Source organism: Homo sapiens, chromosome 10 (genome assembly GCF_000001405.40).
Source record: "Homo sapiens chromosome 10, GRCh38.p14 Primary Assembly".
Classification (NCBI taxonomy): Eukaryota; Metazoa; Chordata; class Mammalia; order Primates; family Hominidae; genus Homo; species Homo sapiens.
This window is the reverse complement of record NC_000010.11, coordinates 26,053,429-26,074,970: the sequence shown is the minus strand read 5'-3', so window position 1 is coordinate 26,074,970 and position 21,542 is coordinate 26,053,429. Positions and strand designations below refer to the sequence as shown.

The following is a 21,542-nucleotide window of genomic DNA, read 5'->3' as shown; positions in this document are numbered from 1 at the left end:
AACTGGATTTACACACACAAAATAATGAAATTTGATCCTTATCTTATACCATACACAAAAAATCACCTCAAAATGGATAAAAGATCTAAATATCAGACTACAAACTATAAAATTTCTAGAAGAGAACATAGAGGAAAAGCTTCTGGACATTGGCATTGGCAATGATTTTTTGGATATCACATCAAATGCTCATGCAAAAAAAGCAAAGAAAGAAAATAAGACTATGTCAGAGTCAAAAGCTCCTGCATGGCAAAGGAAACAATCACCAAAATGAAATGGCAGCCTGTGGATTAGGAAAAAGTATTTGCAAACGATATATTACATGTTATATTATATATAACATTATTGTATATATAATTAAATATAATATATATTATATATTTTATATATATATAAAAGAAAAAAATGAAGTATATAAAACTTCAGCAATAAAAAGTGTGACACTGGTGCATGAACAGACACTAAGGCCAAAGGAGCAGAACAGAAAATCAGAAGTAGACCAAACTGCATGAGGATATTTAGTATAGTATAAGTGTGGCATCTCAAATTTATGGAAAGAATGGGTTTTTAATAAGTGGTATTGGGATAACTGAATAGCTATATGACAAAAAGATACAATTTGATCCATTCATGGCAGTATAAATCAGAATAAATTCCAAATGCATAAGGAAAAAAGTGAATTAAATTCAATTAAGTAGTTGTTTTGAACTATGCAGCCTCACTCTTTTATAGAGAGATTAGGTTTAACCTTGAACCTATTGGTGTTTTGCAACACAAGATTCCTATAATCACAGAATTGGCAAAAATTTTAACATGACTAATTATAACCATATAGATCATAATAAAAATTTTTACAGGCATAAATTGTAAACAGTTTTTTTTCTTTTTTGGCCATTAATGTTATTAAAATACAATTTTATCTTACTTTAAGATCTTTACCTGGAAAATCAAAGTGTGTATCCTCAGCTTCCTTTTTTGAAAACAATTAAGGTATAATTTACATACAGTAAGAGTCACCCTTTATACTGTACAGCTCTGAGAGTTTTTACATGTGCCATCATGTAATCCCCATCGCAGTCTACATATAGGATAATTCCTTCACCACCCCAAATTGTCTCATGACTCTTTGCAGTGAACCCCTCTCTCCACCCCCATTTCCTGATAATCACTGATCTGCTTCTGTCTGTATTGTTTTAAATTTGCAAGAATGGCATGTAAACTGAATCACACAGTATGCAGTGTTTTGATTCTGGCTTCTTTGACTTGCATAATGCATTTGAGCTTCATCTAAAAATAATTATTTATTTATTTATTTATTATCATTATTATTATTATTATTTGACACGGAGTCTTGCACTGTTGCCCAGGCTGGAGTGCAGTGGCGCAATCTTGCACTGTTGCCCAGGCTGGAGTGCAGTGGCGCAATCTCGGCTCACTGCAAGCTCTGCCTCCCAGGTTCATGCCATTCACGTCTCCCAGGTTCATGCCATTCTCCTGCCTCAGCCACCCAAGCACCTGGGACTACAGGCGCCTGCCACCACGCCTGGCTAATTTTTTGTATTTTTAGTACTGACGGAGTTTCAGTGTTAGCCAGGATGGTCTTGAACTCCTGACCTCTTGATCCACCCGCCTTGGCCTCCCAAAGTGCTGGGATTACAGGCATGAGCCACCACTCCCGGCCTCATCCAAAAATAATTAAATGGAATTCATTATTGCTTGTATCAGTGTTTGTTCTTTTTCCTTTTTTGAGACAGGGTCTTGTTCTGTCACCCAGGCTGGAGTGCGGTGGTGCCATCATAGCTTACTGCAACCTCAACCTCCTTAGCTCAAGCAATCCTTCCACTTCAGCTTCCCAAGTAGCTGGGACTATAGGCATGTGCCATCATGCCTGGCTAACTTTTAAATTTTTTCATAGAGGTCTTGCTATGTTGCCCAGGCTGGTCTTGAACTCCTGGACTCAATGTTTATTCCTTTTTATTGCTGAGTAATATTTCACTGTATGAATGTACTATAGTTTGTTTATTCCACTTTCTGGAGTTTGTAAATAAAGTCTCTATAAATCTTTGTCTATAGGTTTCTGTATAGGTTTTCATTTCGTGTGAATAAGCACATAGCAGTAAAACTGCTAGGTTGTATGGTAAGTGGAGCTTATAAGAAACATCCAAACTGTTTTCCAAAGTGGCTGTACCACTTTGCATTCTCACCAGAAATATATGAGCATTCCAGTTGCTCCATATGAAACCCAATAGTCCCACAGATTTTTTTTTTTATAAACATAGAAAATTGACCCTTCTGGTCTTGGAGCTTGAACTTTACAATTTGTTTTATCTGAGTTCCCTCCTGATGAACCACCTTCAGGCCTCTCAAAAAAAGTATCAAAGAACTGAAACTCACTAGATCACCACATCCAGACAATAAGATGCAGACCCCACATTCATCATTATTGCTTCCTTGTCTCTCCCTAGTTTCTGTGTTCTTACACATTCTTACATGTCTTCCCTGTTATGTAAACCCCTAGTTTTAATTGGTCAAAGAGATAAATTTGAGACAGCTCCCATTTCCTGGGTGCAGCACCCGATTAAAGCCTAGTTCTTTGGCAATACTCATCATCTCAGTCATTGGCTTCCTGCGCAGCAAGTAGCAGGACCTAGACCAAACCCCTGGTGTTTTGGTAACACATATTGATATGGTTTGGCTCTGTGTCCCCACCAAAATCTCATCTTGATTTGTAATCCCCACGTGTCTAGGGAAGGACCTGTAATCCCCTCATGTCAAAGGAGGTGACAGGAGGTGACTGGATCATGGGGCAGTTTCCCCCATGCTGTTCTCATGAGAGTGAGTGAATTCTCACAAGATCTGATGGTTTCATAAGTGTTGGGCAAGTTCCTCCTTCTCTCACTGTTCTCTCTCCTGCTGCCATGTGAAGAGGGTCCTTGCTTGCCCTTCACCTTCTGCCATGATTGTAAGTTTCCTGAGGCCTCCGAGTCATGCAAAACTGTGAGTCAATTAAACCTCTTTCCTTTATAAATTACCCAGTCTCGGAAAGTTCTTTATAGCAGTGTGAGAATGGAGTAATACACATATCTTTTTCAGTACTTGGTATTGTTAGATTAAAAAACACTAGCCATTTTAGCCATTTTAATAGTTTTGTAATAGTGTTTTCTTGTGGTTTTAACTTGCATTCCCAAATGATACTGATGTTGAGCAACTTTTCATTTGTTTACGTACCATACATATCCTCTTTGGTGAAGTGACTGTTCAAACATTATGTTTGTTTTTAAATTGTCATTTCATTTCTTATTGATTTGTATGAGTTTTTTTCATATACAAGTCCTTTACTAGTTGTGTGTCTTGCAAATATTTTCTCTGAGTCTGTGGGTTGTGTTTTCATTTTTGTAACAGTGTCCTCAGAGAACAGACATTCTTAATTTTGACAAAATCAAATTTTTCCATGTATAAATTATGCATTTTGTGTTGAATCTAAGAACTCTTTACCTAACTCAACATCACAAAGAACTTTTCCTACGTTTTCTTGTAGAAATTTTATGGCTTTTGGTTTTATGTTTAGATCTATGATCCACTTTGAGTTAAAAATTTGTATAACATGTGAGTATAGATTAATGTTCTTTTTTTTGTATGGGCCTATCCAATTATTTCAACACTATTTGTTGAAAAGACCACCTTTCTTAATTAATGAATTTTACAACTTTGTCAAAAATCAATAAACCATATATGAGTAGCCTCACTATTTTGTTCAGTCAATCTGTATGTCATCCTTTCTTTAATGACACACTGTCTTGACTATTGCAGCTTTACAGCAAGTCTGGAAATAAGGTTGCATGAATCCTCCAACTTTGTTCTTTCTCAAGATTGTTTGGTTATTCTAGCTCCTTTGCCCTTCAATATATATTTTTGAGTCACCTTGTCAATTCCCACCAAAAAAAAAATCCTGTTTGGATTTTTATTGTAATTGCATTATATCTATAGATCAATTTGTAGAAGACTGACGTCTTAATAATATGGAGTCACTTAATCCATGATCATGTTATATCTCTTCGTTTATTTAGGTCTTTTATTTCTTTTAACTCTTTCAGTTTTCAGCAAACAAATCTTGCACATATAATATTTAGATCTACATAGTTCATGTTTTTTTGATTTTATTGTTAATGGCACTTTTAAGATTCAATTTGCAATTGACCATTACTAGTATATACATATGGTATGTAAACACAATTGATTTTTGTTTGTTGACTCTCTTTTAACCTGCTAGCAACAAAAGGAGAAAAAGTAAAGAAAGCATTCAATAAATGCACTGGGACTAAAAACAATGAAAATCACCTTTATAAGCCTTGCCTAATAAGTGTGATAAAAGTTAGAAAATCCTCAAAACAGAGTACATGCTTTTCATATTGCTCATTATTTTAAACTCTCAAAGGATAACAACTGTATTTTAAAATTTCTGTACATTATTAAATGTGAGATACTAGAGAATATTAATCTAATCAGTTATATTAAGTTATGAAATTCAACAAATATTTCTGATGGGACAGAGAAAAAAATAAATTATACCTTTCCAAGCACTGTCAGCTGCTGAACTAAAAGATGAGCATTTTCAGTCTTTCCAGCACCACTTTCTCCAGAAATAACAATGCACTATACATAGAAAAGAAAACTGTGAGAAGACCTTATCCTCAAAATTAAGTGACATTTAAGTAACTAAGAGGTAAATTTCTAAGAATGGGAGACTCTTCTTACCTGATCTGAATTATATGTTATCATAGATTGATATCCTAAGTCAGCCATTGCAAAAATGTGAGGAGGACTGGCAGTTCTCTTTGATCCAATATATAGTTTGGAATGCTAAAGGTTAAAAAGAATACATTTTGTAGGGCTTTTTGTTTTTATTTAAGTCCTGAATTATTTACAAATATAGCTCCAATTTTTAAAGCAAAGTATAAATAAAAACACCATTTCATTCCACCAAAACATTATTACATACATGTTACACACATATTGCACATATATCTAAATGTATAACTATGTAAAATAAGAGCCTGACACAAAACAGCCCAGAAATATGATATGACATAAAGTAATTTAAAAGATTCTGCATTCCACTTCCAAAGCAGAATGTAAGGTTTCAAAATTCCATTATGTATTTAAATGAAAGCATACATTAAAAATAAGACGATCGGGTTTCAGTTTGTTAACTGCTCCTTGGACATAATAATGTCTCACACATGATAACCACTTTTTTCCTTTCACGTCATTTAACATACATTCTCTCATTTGATTTGTCCAAGATCACACAGTGAATTGATAGCAAGATTGCACCAAAACCCGTATCTCCTGAAACATAGGTCAAGGCTCATAAATTTACTGTTATTTCTGTAAATTTTAGGATGGCAAAAGATGACAGAGATATGTACTTTTCACACACAAAAACAACTATTAGGAACAGTATTAAATAAGTTTCTGGAGTACACAAATAGCCAGAAGAGAATGAGTCCAATTAAAAATGAAAAACAACCTTGTTTAATTCCAGAATAGTATTCTATATGTAAGCCACCAGTGGTTAAATAATTGATAATTATATATTCATATTCATAAAACATGTTTGTGATATTAATGAAGCCAATAATACATCAAAAGGAATTTTTAACTCACAGTGACAATTTTTAAAGCCATTAAGTATGTATTATCTACATAAACAATGTAATTATACTTTTGACGCTCCCATACTCAGTTCAGCGGCAGACATACATTAAGTACATACCTTTTTAAGCAGATTTAAGTATATGCTTTTAAAGGCATCTGTTTAGTGATACAATATTTAATGTAGAGCCGTTACCAATAACTGAATGTAATTAACACTCTGGCACACGCATTTGGAGAAAGCAAGACCACAAACTGCACCCAGATTGACTCTATCTTCTATTTTTCCTAGTTCTATGTTTTAACAAAAATTATGTAACTGTTTATTCAAAATACTGGATAAAATTTTCTGGCATTCATTTAAATTAATTTAAGTATCTGAATGTATAATTATGTGTATGAAGTAACAGAATGCACCCCATACGACATACCTTTGTGGAGTAAAGACCCAGACTCTGAAAAGGGTTAAGAGCAATGAGTATGTCTCCCACATAGACGTAGATCTGATCTCTGGAATAACACTTCTCAAGTTGCTCTGAGACTGTATTCTGCAATAAAATAAAATAATTTCTCCTTCTTAAAAATTATTTGTGGTCAACTACAATTTAAAAAGTAAACAATAATAAACAGAACATCTGGAATCTGGACGAAGGATTAGAAAAACAGACACACTGATAGTAAAAAACATGTAACATCAGCTCTGCAACTACTCATTCACTTGACAGCCATTTTCTTTGGTTTTGAGAGCCACAGAGGATGTCATTGTTACCTGCATTTTCCAAAGGACATATTATGTGTCACAGGAATTTTAAATATATAATGCTTTCAAGAAAAGAAGTAATAGCACTAAGTGATGTAAAGATTAAAAACGAAGTAAAGAGAAAAGGGAAGGGAAGATAAAGTGAATATGATTTAATTCCAAATCAAGGTGATCCAGTGGCTTTATGGAATGTCCTAGTCCTTTTATTTTTTCAGACTTTTGGCTTTATGAAGTACTATGAAAAATTTTAAAATGTAATTTTCATAGTTGATAAGTCATTTGAGTAAATGAATTGATTTTGATAATGTCGGAAACCACCATTTACAGTACATGACACAAGAGAGGAGCAAAAGATCTTAGGTCCAAAAAGAAACTAAAAATAAAATATAGACAACAGAAACAAACCCACCATTTAATATATTAATATCTTGGTCAACAACATGATTAGTGAAAACTTCTTTGCAATCCACAAGCCTAGGAATTCACATTATTAAAAAATTTTATATGTAAGAATTCAGAAAGGTGCTGCAATCTCTGACTTGCCAACATGATTTGATTTCAAGATGTTTGATGTTCTTGAGATTATTTTGAGGAAGTACTTGAGTTGTTTATGCAACCCTAAATTTACCAAATGACTACCTCTATTCAGAACTTACCTCTTGATTGGTACATTTCTGAGTCAAATGCTCAGGCATGTATCAGCAGTGTAAAAAAAATAAAAAGGTGTTCATCAGGCAGGACAGAAGTCCTGACCTTCTGCTAAAAAGAGGGCATTTATTTCTCTAATGATCTGACTACGTGGAACAAAGAAGGGTGAGGGGAAAGTAGGCTGAGACTAGAATTTAATAGCTTGGATCTCTACCTTCACAAAAATGTTTGAAATACTTCTGAGATAATTAGAATAAGGAGTTCCAAGCAGAATTCAATACCCCCGAAAGATAAGCTGTGTGAAACAAGGGTTTTGTGATCCCATGAGGAAGAACACTGACCATGGTAACAGACAGGCTGTTGAGGTATCCCAGAGTTTCTGGGTACAGCCACTAAGAGCTGAAACAGGAGAGGACAAAGCGGGAGGCCACCACATGGTGGTTACAATAGGCTGACTGCTCTTTGAATACAATAAATCATATCTTTGAGACTCCCACAAATAATGAAAAAGAAGGAAGATCTGTGGCCTAACAACTTACACTGCGAGGACCTCACCCCTATCAGTTGAGCATCAGACAAAAATGAACACTAGGCTGGAAAGATCTGGAAATTTGAGTTATATAGATTAAAACTGAAGATAAGTGAAATAATAGGAAGCTAAGAGACAAAGAAAGCATGAGACTTACAGATGGGAGACATGGGCAGAGTGAGTGTTAAGATTCTTAATAACCATCATAATCTATATATTCCTTCCCCTTCTACCAATACCCGTGTCTTCTATAAATTAACAAAACATCTGGAATGTCTAAGTTTAATTAAACTGAAATTCTTACCTCATCCAAAATTTCTAGGGTTGCTAAATCATCTACATCCTTCAGATTGGATATTAGAGGTCGGTTGAAGTTCCCTTTCTTCGTGTGAATACGTTCACGTCTGTGGAGAAAAACGCTTTCTGATTTAAGAATTGATTACTGCTCATAGTGGAAAAAAGTTTTAGATACATATGATACTGAAAATCCTCTAGGAATCTGTTTATTAAATTCAATGATAAGATACCAGAAAATAGCCTAATATATTTGATCTTTACTGTTTGTTTACTCCTTTCCATTGGAAAAATGCAAATTACAGAATTTACTTCATGGATGATCAAGAGTACATAATTTCCTTCAAGAACTATCTTTATATAATTTGTTTTAAAGCTTCCTCTAAATTTCTGTGTGATTGAATCTGTTACAAGGTGATGAGGCTGAAGGGTTTGAATTCATTACATTCCTAATTTTGTTGGAGATAGTGTTAGGTCATTGGTGATCAAGGTATGGTCATTTTTAATTACTATTCAGCAAAATTTAACAGGAATACAAAATAAATCACATTATAAATTTTCAAAAGGTTAGATGTGTGTAAAAATAGATTTCATGTACCAAAAAGTTTATTTTCAAAGTAAAACATTTCAACAACTTTCAAAAACAGCATAAAGATCTTGATTTAACACAAAGGAGAAGTTGCTGAGATAAACACAATGGTTTATTTAAACTTTTCTGGACATCCATTTTATTTTGGGGATGATTGTATTTCTGGTATTTATTTTTGGACATACTCTTAAGTATCTGGATTTGCCCCTTGGTAAAAGGGGAAGGAATATATAGATTATGAGGGTTATTAAGAATCTTAACACTTACTCAGAAAACTGTAATGGTTTCTTATTGCTTAGAAATTTAAGCCTATTAATAAACTGCCTGTTCCCCTATCTAAGCCCACTGCTCTTTTTTTTTTTTTTTTTTTTTTTGAGACGGAGTTTCGCTCTGTCGCCCAGGCTGGAGTGCAGTGGCGCGATCTCGACTCACTGCAAGCTCCGCCTCCCGGGTTCACGCCATTCTCCTGCCTCAGCCTCAGCCTCCCGTGTAGCTGGGACTATAGGCACGCGCCACCATGCCCGGCTAATTTTTGTATTTTTAGTAGAGACGGGGTTTCACCGTGTTAGCCAGGATGGTCTCGATCTCCTGACCTCGTGATCCGCCCGTCTCGGCCTCCCAAAGTGCTGGGATTACAGGCGTGAGCCACCGCGCCCGGCCCACTGCTCTTTTTGTATACTATAATAGCTTCTGTCCTCTCTCATTTAGGGAAGGACATCACTCCCACTGCTTTTTCTCTCATTCCTACATCATTGAATTTTCTCTGTTATATCACCCACCCCACAAACAACAACAAACTGCCTCCCCTGACTTCCAGTTTCCTCCATCTGCTGTTCTATTTCTTTGCTTTATAGTAAAAATCCTCAAAAGAATTATGTATACTTTTTTTTTTTTTTTTTTTTTTTTTTTTGGAGATGGAGTCTCGCTCTGTCACCCAGGCTGGAATGCTGTGGCGTGATCTCAGCTCACTGCAACCTCCGCCTCCCAGGTTCATGTGATTCTCCTGCCTCAGCTTCCCGAGTGGCTGGGATTACAGGCGTGGCCACCACGCTCAGCTAATTTTTTTGCATTTTTAATAGTGACAGGGTTTCACCATGTGGGCCAGGCTGGTCTCGAACTTCTGACCTCAAGTGATCTGCCCACTTTGGCCTCCCAGTGTGCTTGGATTATAGGCGTGAGCCACCATGCTCGGCATATACTTAGTTTCTTCAGGCTTTCATCTTGACACTCTGTGGAAGCAGCTTTTGTTAAGGACTCTATTGACCTTTACATTGCTAAATCCAATGGTCAATTTTAAGTCCTCATTTTACCTAATCTACCAGGCGCATTTAACAAAGGCGTTCTTGAATACCTTTGCCTTGGTTTCCTGTAAGTCTCTCTTGATTCTCTTCCTTAACTCACTGGTATCTCTGTCTGAGTATCTTTTTCGGTTTTTTCCTTATCTTTCTGTTACATTTTGGGGGTCTCCCAAGTTTCAGTTCTTGAAGTTATCTTCTTCTCTACATTCACTTCCTTATATCATAGCCTTACACACCACTCATTCACTGATAACTACTACTCCAGACTTCTGCATCTAAATGCTTATTTGATATTTCACTTGGAGAGACAGACACATCCCAAACCACACTCCTAAATACTCTGTCTCCAAACCTACTCCTTCCTATGATTCTTCATCTCAGTCAACGGTGACTCCTTTCTTCTGATTGTTCAGGATGTTAGAGACATCCTTGGCTTTTCTGTTTCTCACAGCCCTCATGCAATCTGTATACAAATTCCATCAGCTCTATCATCAAATTCTATCTAGGGCTAGACATTTCTCCCCACCATCCCCCCACTATATTTCTTCTCACTGCTGCAACAGCCTCCCAAGAGGTTTGCCTGCTGCCATCTTTACCTTCTGACACTCTTCCCAACACTGCAGCCAGAGTGATCTTTAAAAAAAATGTCAGATCATGTCACTACTCTGCTCAAAGTTCCTGATCTTACCATTATTACTCAAAGGAATATCCAATGCCTTACCATGGCCTACAAGGCCCATATGATTTGTGCATCTGTGCCTCCCTCAATACCCCTATTATTTCTCTAACATCATCTGTTTCTAATATCCCTCCTACTCAATTCTTTCCAACCTCATTGGCTTCCTTGCTGTTTCTTGAACACATTAAGCATGCTTCTACCTCACAGCTTTGGTATTTGCTGTTCCCTCTGAGTGGAATGCCATTTTCTTTGGTATCTGTAAAGCTCTTTCTTGCTTCCCATGGGCTTCTTTCAATATTATATTAATCAGAGTCTTTTCCTGGTGAGCCCTTGTCAATTAGTGGCTTCTCTCCAGAATCTCTCATCACCCTTTTCCTGCTCTATTTTTAGCCATTGCCTTCTCCCCCAATTTTCCTCATCACCTCTCATATTCTACCTTGTCCTCTGTCTTCTCCTATTAGATTGTAATTAATATAATGCCAATCTAGATTTTATGGTACTAGTAAGACAGAGTACCTGTATTGTTCACTGCTGTGTCCCCAGCAGCTGTTAACAGTGCCTGGCATGCAGTAGGCACTCAATAAATAGTTGTTCAATGACTAATTATAGGAAACTCATTCAAGGCCTTCCATAACATTACACAATCTGTCTTTCCAGTGTATTTGCCAGAAAATACGCTTTTACACTTTAGCTTAACTGGACTTGTTTCTGTTTCTTAAACTATACATCCCTGTGCTTTCTTCACCTGTCATTTTGTTCTTGTTGTTTCCTCCTCAGCCCAATCTGTATGATAAAACTTTATTCACTTTTCACAATCCACCTTAAATGTCACCTTTTACACTCCTCAGCACAATTCTACACATCCTTTAGGATAGATATCTTAGTTAAATGTCATTTCAGTCATTCATTTGTGTGCTGGCCTTATACCCTTTACTAGATTGTAAATTTCCTAGGATAGGAATATCTTTTCAACATATGGTGCTGGAACAATTGGACATTCACATGCAAAAAAAAGTGACTCAAGACACTGACCTTTCAGCTTTTACAAATATTAACTCAAAATAAATCACATATCTAAATGTAAAATGTAAAACCATAAAACTCCAGAAGATAACATAGGAAAAAATCTAGATACCTTTGGGTTTGGAAATAAGTTTTTATATGCAACACCAACAATATCATCCATGAAATAAAAAATTGATAAATTGGGCTTCACTAAAATTATAAACATCTGCACTGTGCAAGTTTATTTTAATAAAATATGAAAACAAAAAATTCTCTCCAATCACACTTCTTTGGACTGTGTCATTTTCCTGCCAGGACACTGACTACTAGATCCAGCCAGCCATTGACTTCTCTTCAGCTCCAGTGTTGCAGATTTCTGGTCACAGAACTCACACATGAAAGATTAGAATTTTCCCTCCACTGGACCCTGGAGTTACTCATTAATTATTTACCCCTCCGCAGGAGACTTCCTAGCTCATTTTAGATAGCAGTCGTCCAAAAATGTCTACCTTTCAAGCTTCCAATATCTATTTTCCCTCTTCTTCAATGGGAGCTAATACAAACTCACTCAAGTTCCTTCCCTTTTATCTCAAAATGTTAGTATATTTTCATCTATCTTCTCCTCATATTCCCTCACCCCCATACACACTTCTTTTTCACTTTCCAGGGTGGAAGTGCCACCTTTCTTTTCCAGGGTTAACCCGCCCCACCTGTCTTTCGATTTTCTTTCCTGTGTAGCTTGCTGTATCATGCCATCAGAAGCTTCCTTTCCACAGATCCATATTCTCAGTTGATCACATCTTCTATCATCCTAAGGTGTACAGTCCTCAATTTGCTGCTTTCTTGTTAAGAAAATAAAACCAAGCCACAGACTGGGAGAAACTATTTGCAAATCATGTTTCTGATATTAAAAAAAAGTATCTAATGACAGAAATAGTGTCTTATACCTATTTGCAACTCTTAATTAGATTCCTCCATAATTTTTTTTTTTTTTTTTTGAGATGGCATCTCACTCTGTCGCCAGGCCAGAGTGCAGTGGTGTGATCTCGGCTCACTGCAACCTCTGCCTCCTGGGTTCAAGCAATTCTCCTGCCTCAGCCTCCCGAGTAGCTGAGACTACAGGCGCGCTACCATGCATGGCTAATTTTTGTACTTTTAGTAGAGATGGGGTTTCACCATGTTAGCCAGGATGGTCTCAATCTCCTGACCTCGTGATCTGCCCACCTCAGCCTCCCAAAATGCTGGGATTACAAGATTCCTCCATAATTTTTTATGCCACTTAAAAAAATTATACACTTGTGTAGATAATTTAGTTAATATTTGAAGTCCTTACTAGAATGTAAGCATCAAGATCTGCAAAACTATGCCCTTAGCTTCTTGTTGTATCCCATGAATAAGGAGATTGTTTAGAATAGTGTAGTTTCTCGATAAACTTTAGTTGAATGACTAAGTGACTGTATATCCCCCCACAACGTCTGGCATGGAATTTGCACATAGTTGGTCTCCACATTTGCTGAATTGAACAAGTATCATCTCATTTACTCCCCTATTTTCAAAGCGATTCTTATAAGTATAACCATTTTTGATATATTCTTTTTAAGACAAAAGAGGAAGAAATCCAATTATCCATTTAATTGAAGGGCCCTGAATTTTCTGTTTTTATGGACCCATTTGGCTGCTACAGACTGTTACTGGAGAACGATAGGGAGTGGATGGTGAGGAGCAGAGGGATCAATACTTGGCTGGTTGGTGCCCTCACTCTTCCACTCTTGTGAATTCATCTTCTATGATGTTTTTGGTATTAGCCGTCAAAAACTTAGAAAAGATTTGGTCATTGTGATGATTAAAACAACCTCAGATGGCTCCCTATCTTCTATGGTACAACTTAAAACTTTCTTGGCATGGATTTCATGGGCCTTCACAATCTTGCCTTAAACAACCTTTCCAACATTATTCTCCATCAGCTCCGTACAGAAGGGCTCTTAATATACCAAGCATTTTCAAGACTCTGTACTTTGTTCATTCCATTTCTCTACCTGGAATTATTTTCCTTCCATGCTCAGCAAAATTCTACGTATCCTTCAAAGTTAGTCTTAAATTACCCTCTCTGTGAAGACACTGCAGGTCTTTCCAGAGAGAATACACCACTAGTGGAGAAGTTCTCATATTTAATGAAGTCTATACATGTTCATTGTTCCTGCTATACCTTGAGAAAGTTGTGTGTAGAAATCAAGTGTTATTCATCCTTTTATGTCTTGATACAAAGCTGCAAAAAACAAGGTGTCGGCCGGGCGTGGTGGCTCACACCTGTAATCCCAGCACTTTGGGAGGTTGAGGCGGGTAGATCATGAGGTCAGGAGATCGAGACCATCCTGGCTAACACGGTGAAACCCCGTCTCTACTAAAAATACAAAAAAATTAGCTGGGCGTGGTGGCAGGCGCCTGTAGTCCCAGCTACTCAGGAGGCTGAGGCAGGAGAATGGCATGAACCCAGGAGGCGGAGCTTGCAGTGAGCTGAGATTGCACCCCTGCACTCCAGCCTGGGTGACAGAGTGAGACTCCGTCTCAAAAAAAAATAAAATAAAATAAAAATAAAAATAAAAAGTTGTCTTGAATCTTCATTACCTTAATTCAATACCCATGTTTGCCTGAAACCAACTGAATGTTTGAGGTTTGGATAGAAAATAGCTTTAAATCATTTTTCTTTGTATAATATTGGGCATTTCTTAAAATGAGTAAGTCCATCTACCTTTTCGCAAGAACATCTAAGTGTTTCCATCATCTTTATACATCAGTGAATATCTAATCAATCATGACTGCTTATTTTTCTGGTTAATTTTCATGTTTCCAGTATTAAATAAGTTTTAAAATATGCATACATTGATTTGTCAGATTTAGCTACATGCCAAGTGCCATATATTAGAATTGTAAGGAAAACATATTTTGATATGGAAATTTATGGAAAGTGAGAGCTGTGAATTTTGGAAGGGCATTGGCTTTAGAATATTCTTGTATCACTGTCTTTTGTTTGTTTGTTTGTTTGTTTGAGATGGAGTCTCACTCTGTCACCCAGGTTGGAGTGCAGTGGGGAGATCTCGGTTCACTGCAACCTCTGCCTTCCAGGTTCAAGCGATTCTCCTGCCTCAGCATCCCGAGTAACTGGGATTACAGGCACCCGCCACCATGCCAGGCTAATTTTTGTATTTTTTAAATTTATTTATTTATTTATGTATGTATTTATTTATTTATTTATTGAGATGGAGTTTCGCTCCTGTTGCCCAGGCTGTAGTGCAATGGCATGATCTTCGCTCACCACAACCTCTGCCTCCCGGGTTCAAGTGATTCTCCTGCCTCAGCCTCCCAAGTAGCTGGGATTACAGGCATGCGCCACCATACTCGGCTAATTTTTTGTATTTTTAGTAGAGATGGAGTTTCTCTACGTTGGTTAGGTTGGTCTGGAACTCCTGACTTCAGGTGATCCGCCCGCCTTGGCCTCCCAAAGTGCTGGGATTACGGGCGTGAGCCATCACGCCCAGCCTAAGTTTTGTATTTTTAGTAGAGATGAGGTTTCACCACTTTGGCCAGGCTGGTCTCAAACTCCTGACCTCAAGTGATCCGTCCGCCTCAGCCTCCCAAAGTGTCATTGTTGTTTTAATAAAAATCTAAGTATGCAGTTCAATCCAACTCATATTTATTGAGACCCTGCCACGTGCAAGCATTTTCCCAAGTGTTGTGGGGTTACTGAATGTGGAAAAAAATCCAGGTTGTACAATCAATGAGTTTCAAACTAGTGGGAGATGTGAACACAAATATTTTTAAAAAACACAAAGTATACGGCAAATGCCAAAATTAAAGTAATATATAAAGTGGAAATAGCAAGGAGGGAAAATTAATTCCATTTTGGAACAGTGGATACAGTTCTTAGCAGATTTAGCATTTAATCTTGGTCTTTAAGTAGAAGTAGGATTCCAGTAACCTGAGGAAGAGTGTTTGTATGTAGGGGTGGTGACTGATGGGTGAAATAAATTAATATATTTCATCACATCAATAGGCTAAAAAGTAAAAATGACATGATCATATCAATAGATGCAGAGAAAGCATCTGACAAAATTCAACCTCTTTTCATGATAAAAACTCCCAGTAAATGAGCCACAGAAGGGAGCTTCCTTAACTTCATAAACAACATGTAAAATAGCCTACAGTTACAATACATAATGATGAGAAATTAGAAGCTTTCCTGCTAAGATCAGAAACAAAGCAAGGATGTTCTCTCTCTACACTCCTTTTCATTATCATAGTGGAAGTCATAGCTAATGCAATAAGACCAAAAAATGACTTAAAAGGTATACTGATAGAGAAGAAAGAAATAAAACTATCTTTGTTCTCAGATGACATAATTGTTTATGTTGAAAATCTGAAAGAGTCAGCATAAAAACCTCCTGGAATGAATAAGCAATTACAGCAAGGTTTTCAGACACAAGATTAATATAAAAAAGTCACTGCTTTCCTATATACCAGAAATGAATAAGTGAAAATGGAAATTAAAAACACAATACCACTTACATTTGCACCCCCCAATGAAATACTTAAGTATAAATCTAACAAAATACATACAAGAAAATTACAAAACTCTGATAAAATAAAACAAGAACTAAGTAAATGGAAAGATATTCTATGTTCATGGATAGGAAGACTCAATATTATCAAGATGTCAGGTCTTTTCAACCTGCTTTACAGATTCAATGCAATCCCAAGCAAAATCCAAACAAATTATTTTGTGGATATTGGCAAACTGATTCTAAAGTTTATATGGAAAGTCAAAAGATCCAGAATAGGCAACCAATATTGAAGGAGAAAAAGCTGGAGGACTGACACTGTGCAATTTCAAGACTTCCTATAAAGCTACAGCAATCATTCATTGCTGGTGGGAATGAAAAATGGTACAGCCAGTTTGGAAGACAGTTTGACAGTTTCTTATAAAATGAAACATGCTCTTGCCATACAATTCAGCTACTGTGCTTCTTTCTACCCAAATGAGTAGAAAACCACACAAAAACCTGTACATCGATATTTATAGCAGCTTTTTTCATAATTGCCAAAACTGGAAGCAACAAAGATGTCCTTCAGGAAGAAATAGGTAAATACATTCTAGTACATTCAGACAATAGTGTATTTTCAGTGCTAAAAGGCAATGAGCTATCAAGCCATGAAAAAAACATGGAAGAAATACAAATGCATATTGCTAAGTGAAAGAACTTAATCTGAAAAAACTACATATATGAGTCCAACTTTATCACATTCTAGAAAAGGCAAAACTATGGAGATGGTAAAAAAGATCACTAATTGACAGCAAATTAGAGGACACAGAGAGATGAATAGGCAGAGAACAGAGCGTTTTTAGGTCAATGAAACTATTCTGTACAATGCTACAATTGTAGATACTTATCATTATACATTTGTCAAAAGCTATTGAATGTACAACACCAATAGTGAATCTTAATGTAAACTGTGGACTCTGGATGATAGGGATGTGTCAATGTAGGTTCACTAATTGTAAAAAAGTACCACTGTGGTGTGGGATGTTGACAGTGGAGAAGGCTGTGCCTACCTGGGGGAAGGGGACACATGGGAAGTCCCTACGCCTTCCTCTCAATTTTGTTATGAACTTTAAACTGCTCTTAAAAATAAAGTTGATTTTAATAAAAAGTAAAAACAAAAACTCTCTTCAATCACACTTCTTTGGATTGTGCTATTTTTGCTTCCAGGGCACTGACTAATAGATCCAATTAGCCATTGACTTCTCTTCAGCTCCAGTGTTGCTTATTTGTGGTCACAAAACTCACGACTGAAAGATTTTAGTTTTCCCTCCACTGGACCTTGAAGTCTACTCATTAATTATTTTACCCATCCAGAGGGTGACTTCCTAGCTCATTTTACATAGCAGTTGTCCAAAAATGTCTACATTTCAAGCTTCCAATATCTATTTTCCCTTTTCTTCAATGGAAACTAACACAAACTCACTCAGGTTCCTTCCCTTCTATCTCAAAATGGTAGTATATTTTCATGTATCTCCTCTTCACATCCCTCCCAACTTCTCTGTGACTTCCAGGGTGGAAGCATCGCCTTTTTTTTCCAGGGTTAACCCTACTAATTTGTCTATTGATTCTTTATCTGTGTAACTTGCTCTATCATCCTATCAGAAGCTTCCTTTCCACCGGGTCCATATTCTCAGTTGATCAAGTCTACCATCCTAAGTTGTCCTTTCCTCAATTTGCTGCATTTTTCTCAAATTTTAACAATCTCCTTGTCAACTTTTCAAAGGACAATCTTAATTCACAGAACCCTTCCTTATTTACATTCACTCCTCAACTCACTAAACTCTGGCATCAGCACTGCTATCAGCCTCTTGAAAGTAAAATGACCTTCTTATCGTCCTATTCAACTGCCCTCTTTAGATTTCATTCTATTCAGTTCCTCTGTGTCCTTTAACTTTATTGATCTACTGTCTTGAAATTCTCTCCTCTGTAGCTTTCATGGCATCTATTTTTTTTTTCCTCCTGTCCTTCTTACTGTGCCTCACCTCAATTATCTCTACCTCAGTCAATGACACCATCATCTCCTTCATGGATATGGAAAAAATGGAGTTTTGAGAAATTTTAAAGAGATTAAAATGATATAATTTGGTGATGTAGTGGATATAAGAGTTGAAAAAGATGGAGATTTCTGGTGTGTACAATTAAATAGATGATGGTATCTGTCAATGAGATAAATACTAGAGGAGTTTCAGATTTTGTGAGGGAAGATAGCGCTTTGCTTCTGGGCATTTGGAACTTGAACACATTTAGGACATCTGTATTTCTCAGTAATAATGCCATCCCCTGACCTAGTTTCCTCAGCCTCCAACACTAAAGCTCTCTACATTCTGTTTATAGCAGATCATCACTGTCTCTGGGACATATGCCCTGCCATTATCCATTTACATGTGCTATAGATATGTTTGGTATCTTTTTAAAATATTTATCCTCCCTGGCATTCTCTGAGAATCTTGGTTCTGTGGTTTAGTATTTGACGTTAACTTTGGAAAATTCTCAGTCATTGTTGCTTAAAATATTTGTTTCCTCCTCTCTTCTCTTGGTATTCCCATTATGTATATATCATACCTTTTTTAGTTATTCCACAATTCTTAGATCTTCTATTCCAGTTTTTCAATCTTTTTTCTCATTGCCTTTCCATTTCAGACATTTCTATTGATATATCTCAGAGATTGTTTTCTCCACTGAGTCCAGTCTACTAATGAGCCCATTAAGGTTGTTCTTCATTTATGTTACAGTGCTTTTGATTTCTAACATTTCAAATTCCTTCTCAGAATTCCCATCTCTCTACTTACATTGCCCATCTGTCCTTGCAGGTCATCTACTTCATCCACTAGAGCCTTTATCATATTAACTGTGGACTTACAAAAAATTCCTGGTGTGGTAATTCAACATACCTGCCATATCTAAGTATGGTTCTGATGCTTGCTCTGTTTCTTCAAACTGTGATTTTTGCCTGTTAGTATGCCTTGTAATTTTTCTTTGATAGCCAAGACTGGGTAAAAGTAACTCCAATAAATAGGTGTTAATTCATGTGTTGGTAACATGCTACAGGCATAAGGGAGTGGAAGCATTCTATAGTTATATGATTAGGTTTCAACCTTTTAATGACAGTGACTTTCAACTGTGATCTTCACAAGTGCCTCAGTCTCCTCCTTCTCTACTCCCCTCCTATTCCTTAGGAAGGACAAGAGGAGGGTAAACCATGTTAAAAGGAACAGAATGCTCTGCCATATTTTTAAATGGCACTTTTTCCTCTCTCCCTGATGTAAACACAAAGGGATTTTTCTCTGAAATTTACTGTGAGAACCTGACTAATCTGGAGGTAAAACCCATAAAAGTACGGAGGCCACCTGTGACTGGAATCTCCTACAGTTTTTAACTGTCAGACTGAGCCTCCAGCAATTCATCGATTACAGTTCAAATTTTCCCACCCCACTAATTGCTCCCTTGGATGTCTCTGCTTGCATGTTTCTGCTCCAATAAGCTGATATTTTCTGTATTTTCCTACCTGTGGGGAGTGGTTTACCCTGTAACCTTATTCTCTGATGGATCCAATTAAGAGTTGTTGATTTTTCATTTTGTTCAGTTTTCACTGGTTGTTAGGATGGAGTGACAACTTCTAACCTCCTTAAATGCTGGAGCAGAAACTGGATAAAGAGCCTGTCTTTATGAAGGTGTGGGCACTGATAAAGGAAACAAACAAGAGCTAGTGAAGATCCCTCTACAGCAACTTTCACTACCCTTGGCCAGAAGCTGCAAGCGGAAGAAGTGGTTTCCAAAAGCCAAGAGAGAGCTGTAGCTCTAGGGTTAGCACCACTGGATAGAAGCTGCTGCCTTAGGTAGATCCTGGCCATTGTCACTTCCAATCTGCAGGTGCTTGATTGGTGCAGCACACCAGGGTCAGCTTTCCAGGGCACAGGGCAGAGTGAAGAAGCAGGAAGTAGACCTATGTATTAGTTTCCCATTGCTGCTATAACAAGTTTATCACAAATCTTGTGGCATAAAACAATGAGTATTTATTCTCTCACAGTTCTGCAGGCCAGAAATCCCAAATCAGTTTCATCTGGAAATTCACCGTGTCATCAGCAGGGCTGGTTCCTTCTGGAGACTCTAGGGGAGAATCATTGCTTTGCCTTTTCCAGTTTCTGGAGGCTGTAGGCATTCTTCGGTCATGGCTGCATCAATTTAACAGCTGCTTCCATACTCATATTGTTTTCTCCCTCACTAACCTTCTTGCCTCTGTCTTATAAGGACTCTTATGATTATATTTAGGGCCCGGCCACTAATCCCGGATAATTTCCCCTTCTCCAGATCCTTGACTTAATCACAACTGCATGGTTCCTTTTGCCAGGCAAAGTAATATTCACAGATCCCAGGGATTGGACCTAGGTGTCTCAGAGGGTCGTTACTCAGCCTACCAAAATCTAGAAAGGCAAATGGAAAATGTACAGAATACAGAAATATTGGCAGGAAGCTAAGAAAACCTGGACCGTATGTAAAAACAGTTTGGAGAGTTTTCCATGAACTGCTGATTGAATACATGGGTGAAAAGGTGGGATTTCTTCATTAAACAATATTGTGCTCTCCATCTAAATCCTAGAGTATTTAATAAAATCATAAATGTCTATTTCTAAAGCAAAACTTCCATTGCTACTACACTGATCTTTAAGCCACCATTGTTTCCGACCTTGGTTATTGCATATAGTGAGAATGATCTTTTTAAAACATAACTCAAAAATGTCACCCATCTGGTCAGTACCCTCCCATGTCACTCACTCAAAGTAAGGTCTCTTATAATCTGATCCCACACCCACCCCATTGCTTCTCCCACCGTATCTCCTAACAGTGTGTCCCCAATTACTCCTCGCTAGCTTTCTCGATCCCTCTTGGCCGAGCCTCTAACACCTGGCTCACTCCTGCCTCAAAGGCTGACTCTTCTCTCTGCCCAAAGAGCCACAAGCCTAAAGTACTTCTCTTGATTGCGAGGTCTGGGATAACCACCATTTTCAACATCGTAATCCCACCCTCCAACCCTGAGGACTTCCAGTCCCTCTTATATTGTTCTATTTTTCTTTCATTTCTTTTTCTTTTTTTGAAACGGAGTCTCACACTGTTGCCTTGGCTGGAGTGCAATGGCGCGATCTCAGCTCACTGCAAACGTCACCTCCCAGGTTCACGTGATTCTCCTGCCTCAGCCTCTTGAGTACCTGGAATTACAGGCACACACCACCACACTTGGCTAATTTTTTGTGTTTTTAGTAGAGACGGGGTTTCACTATGTTGGCCAGACTGGTCTCGAACTCCTGACCTCGCGATCCGCCCTCCATGGCCTCCCAAAGTGCTGGGATTACAGGGGTGAGCCACCGTGCCCAGCTGCTCTATTTTTCTTTAGCATGCATCACCATGTGATATACTACACTGCTCAATAAACTTTTTATATGTATTGTCTGGGTCTTCCAATAAGTATGTAAGTTCCATGAAAACAGGTTT

The 21,542-nt window shown here is 37.4% G+C and overlaps 1 protein-coding gene across 20 annotated transcripts in view; it reads right to left on the bottom strand.

Moving 5' to 3' along the window:
- The window catches only part of MYO3A (myosin IIIA), a 278,304-nt gene that overhangs the window by 137,562 nt on the left and 119,200 nt on the right, over positions 1 to 21,542 (bottom strand). For all 20 annotated transcript variants that reach the window (XR_930494.1, XM_011519498.3, XM_011519500.3 and 17 more), the window contains 4 exons: positions 7,897 to 7,996; positions 6,087 to 6,203; positions 4,756 to 4,860; positions 4,570 to 4,653 (listed from right to left, as the gene is read on the bottom strand). Coding sequence is in view for 19 of the 20 variants with exons in the window: in XM_011519498.3 (XP_011517800.1) it covers positions 4,570 to 4,653; positions 4,756 to 4,860; positions 6,087 to 6,203; positions 7,897 to 7,996 (406 nt within the window). In the remaining variant the exon portion in view is untranslated. The remainder of the gene's footprint in view (positions 1 to 4,569; positions 4,654 to 4,755; positions 4,861 to 6,086; positions 6,204 to 7,896; positions 7,997 to 21,542) is intronic.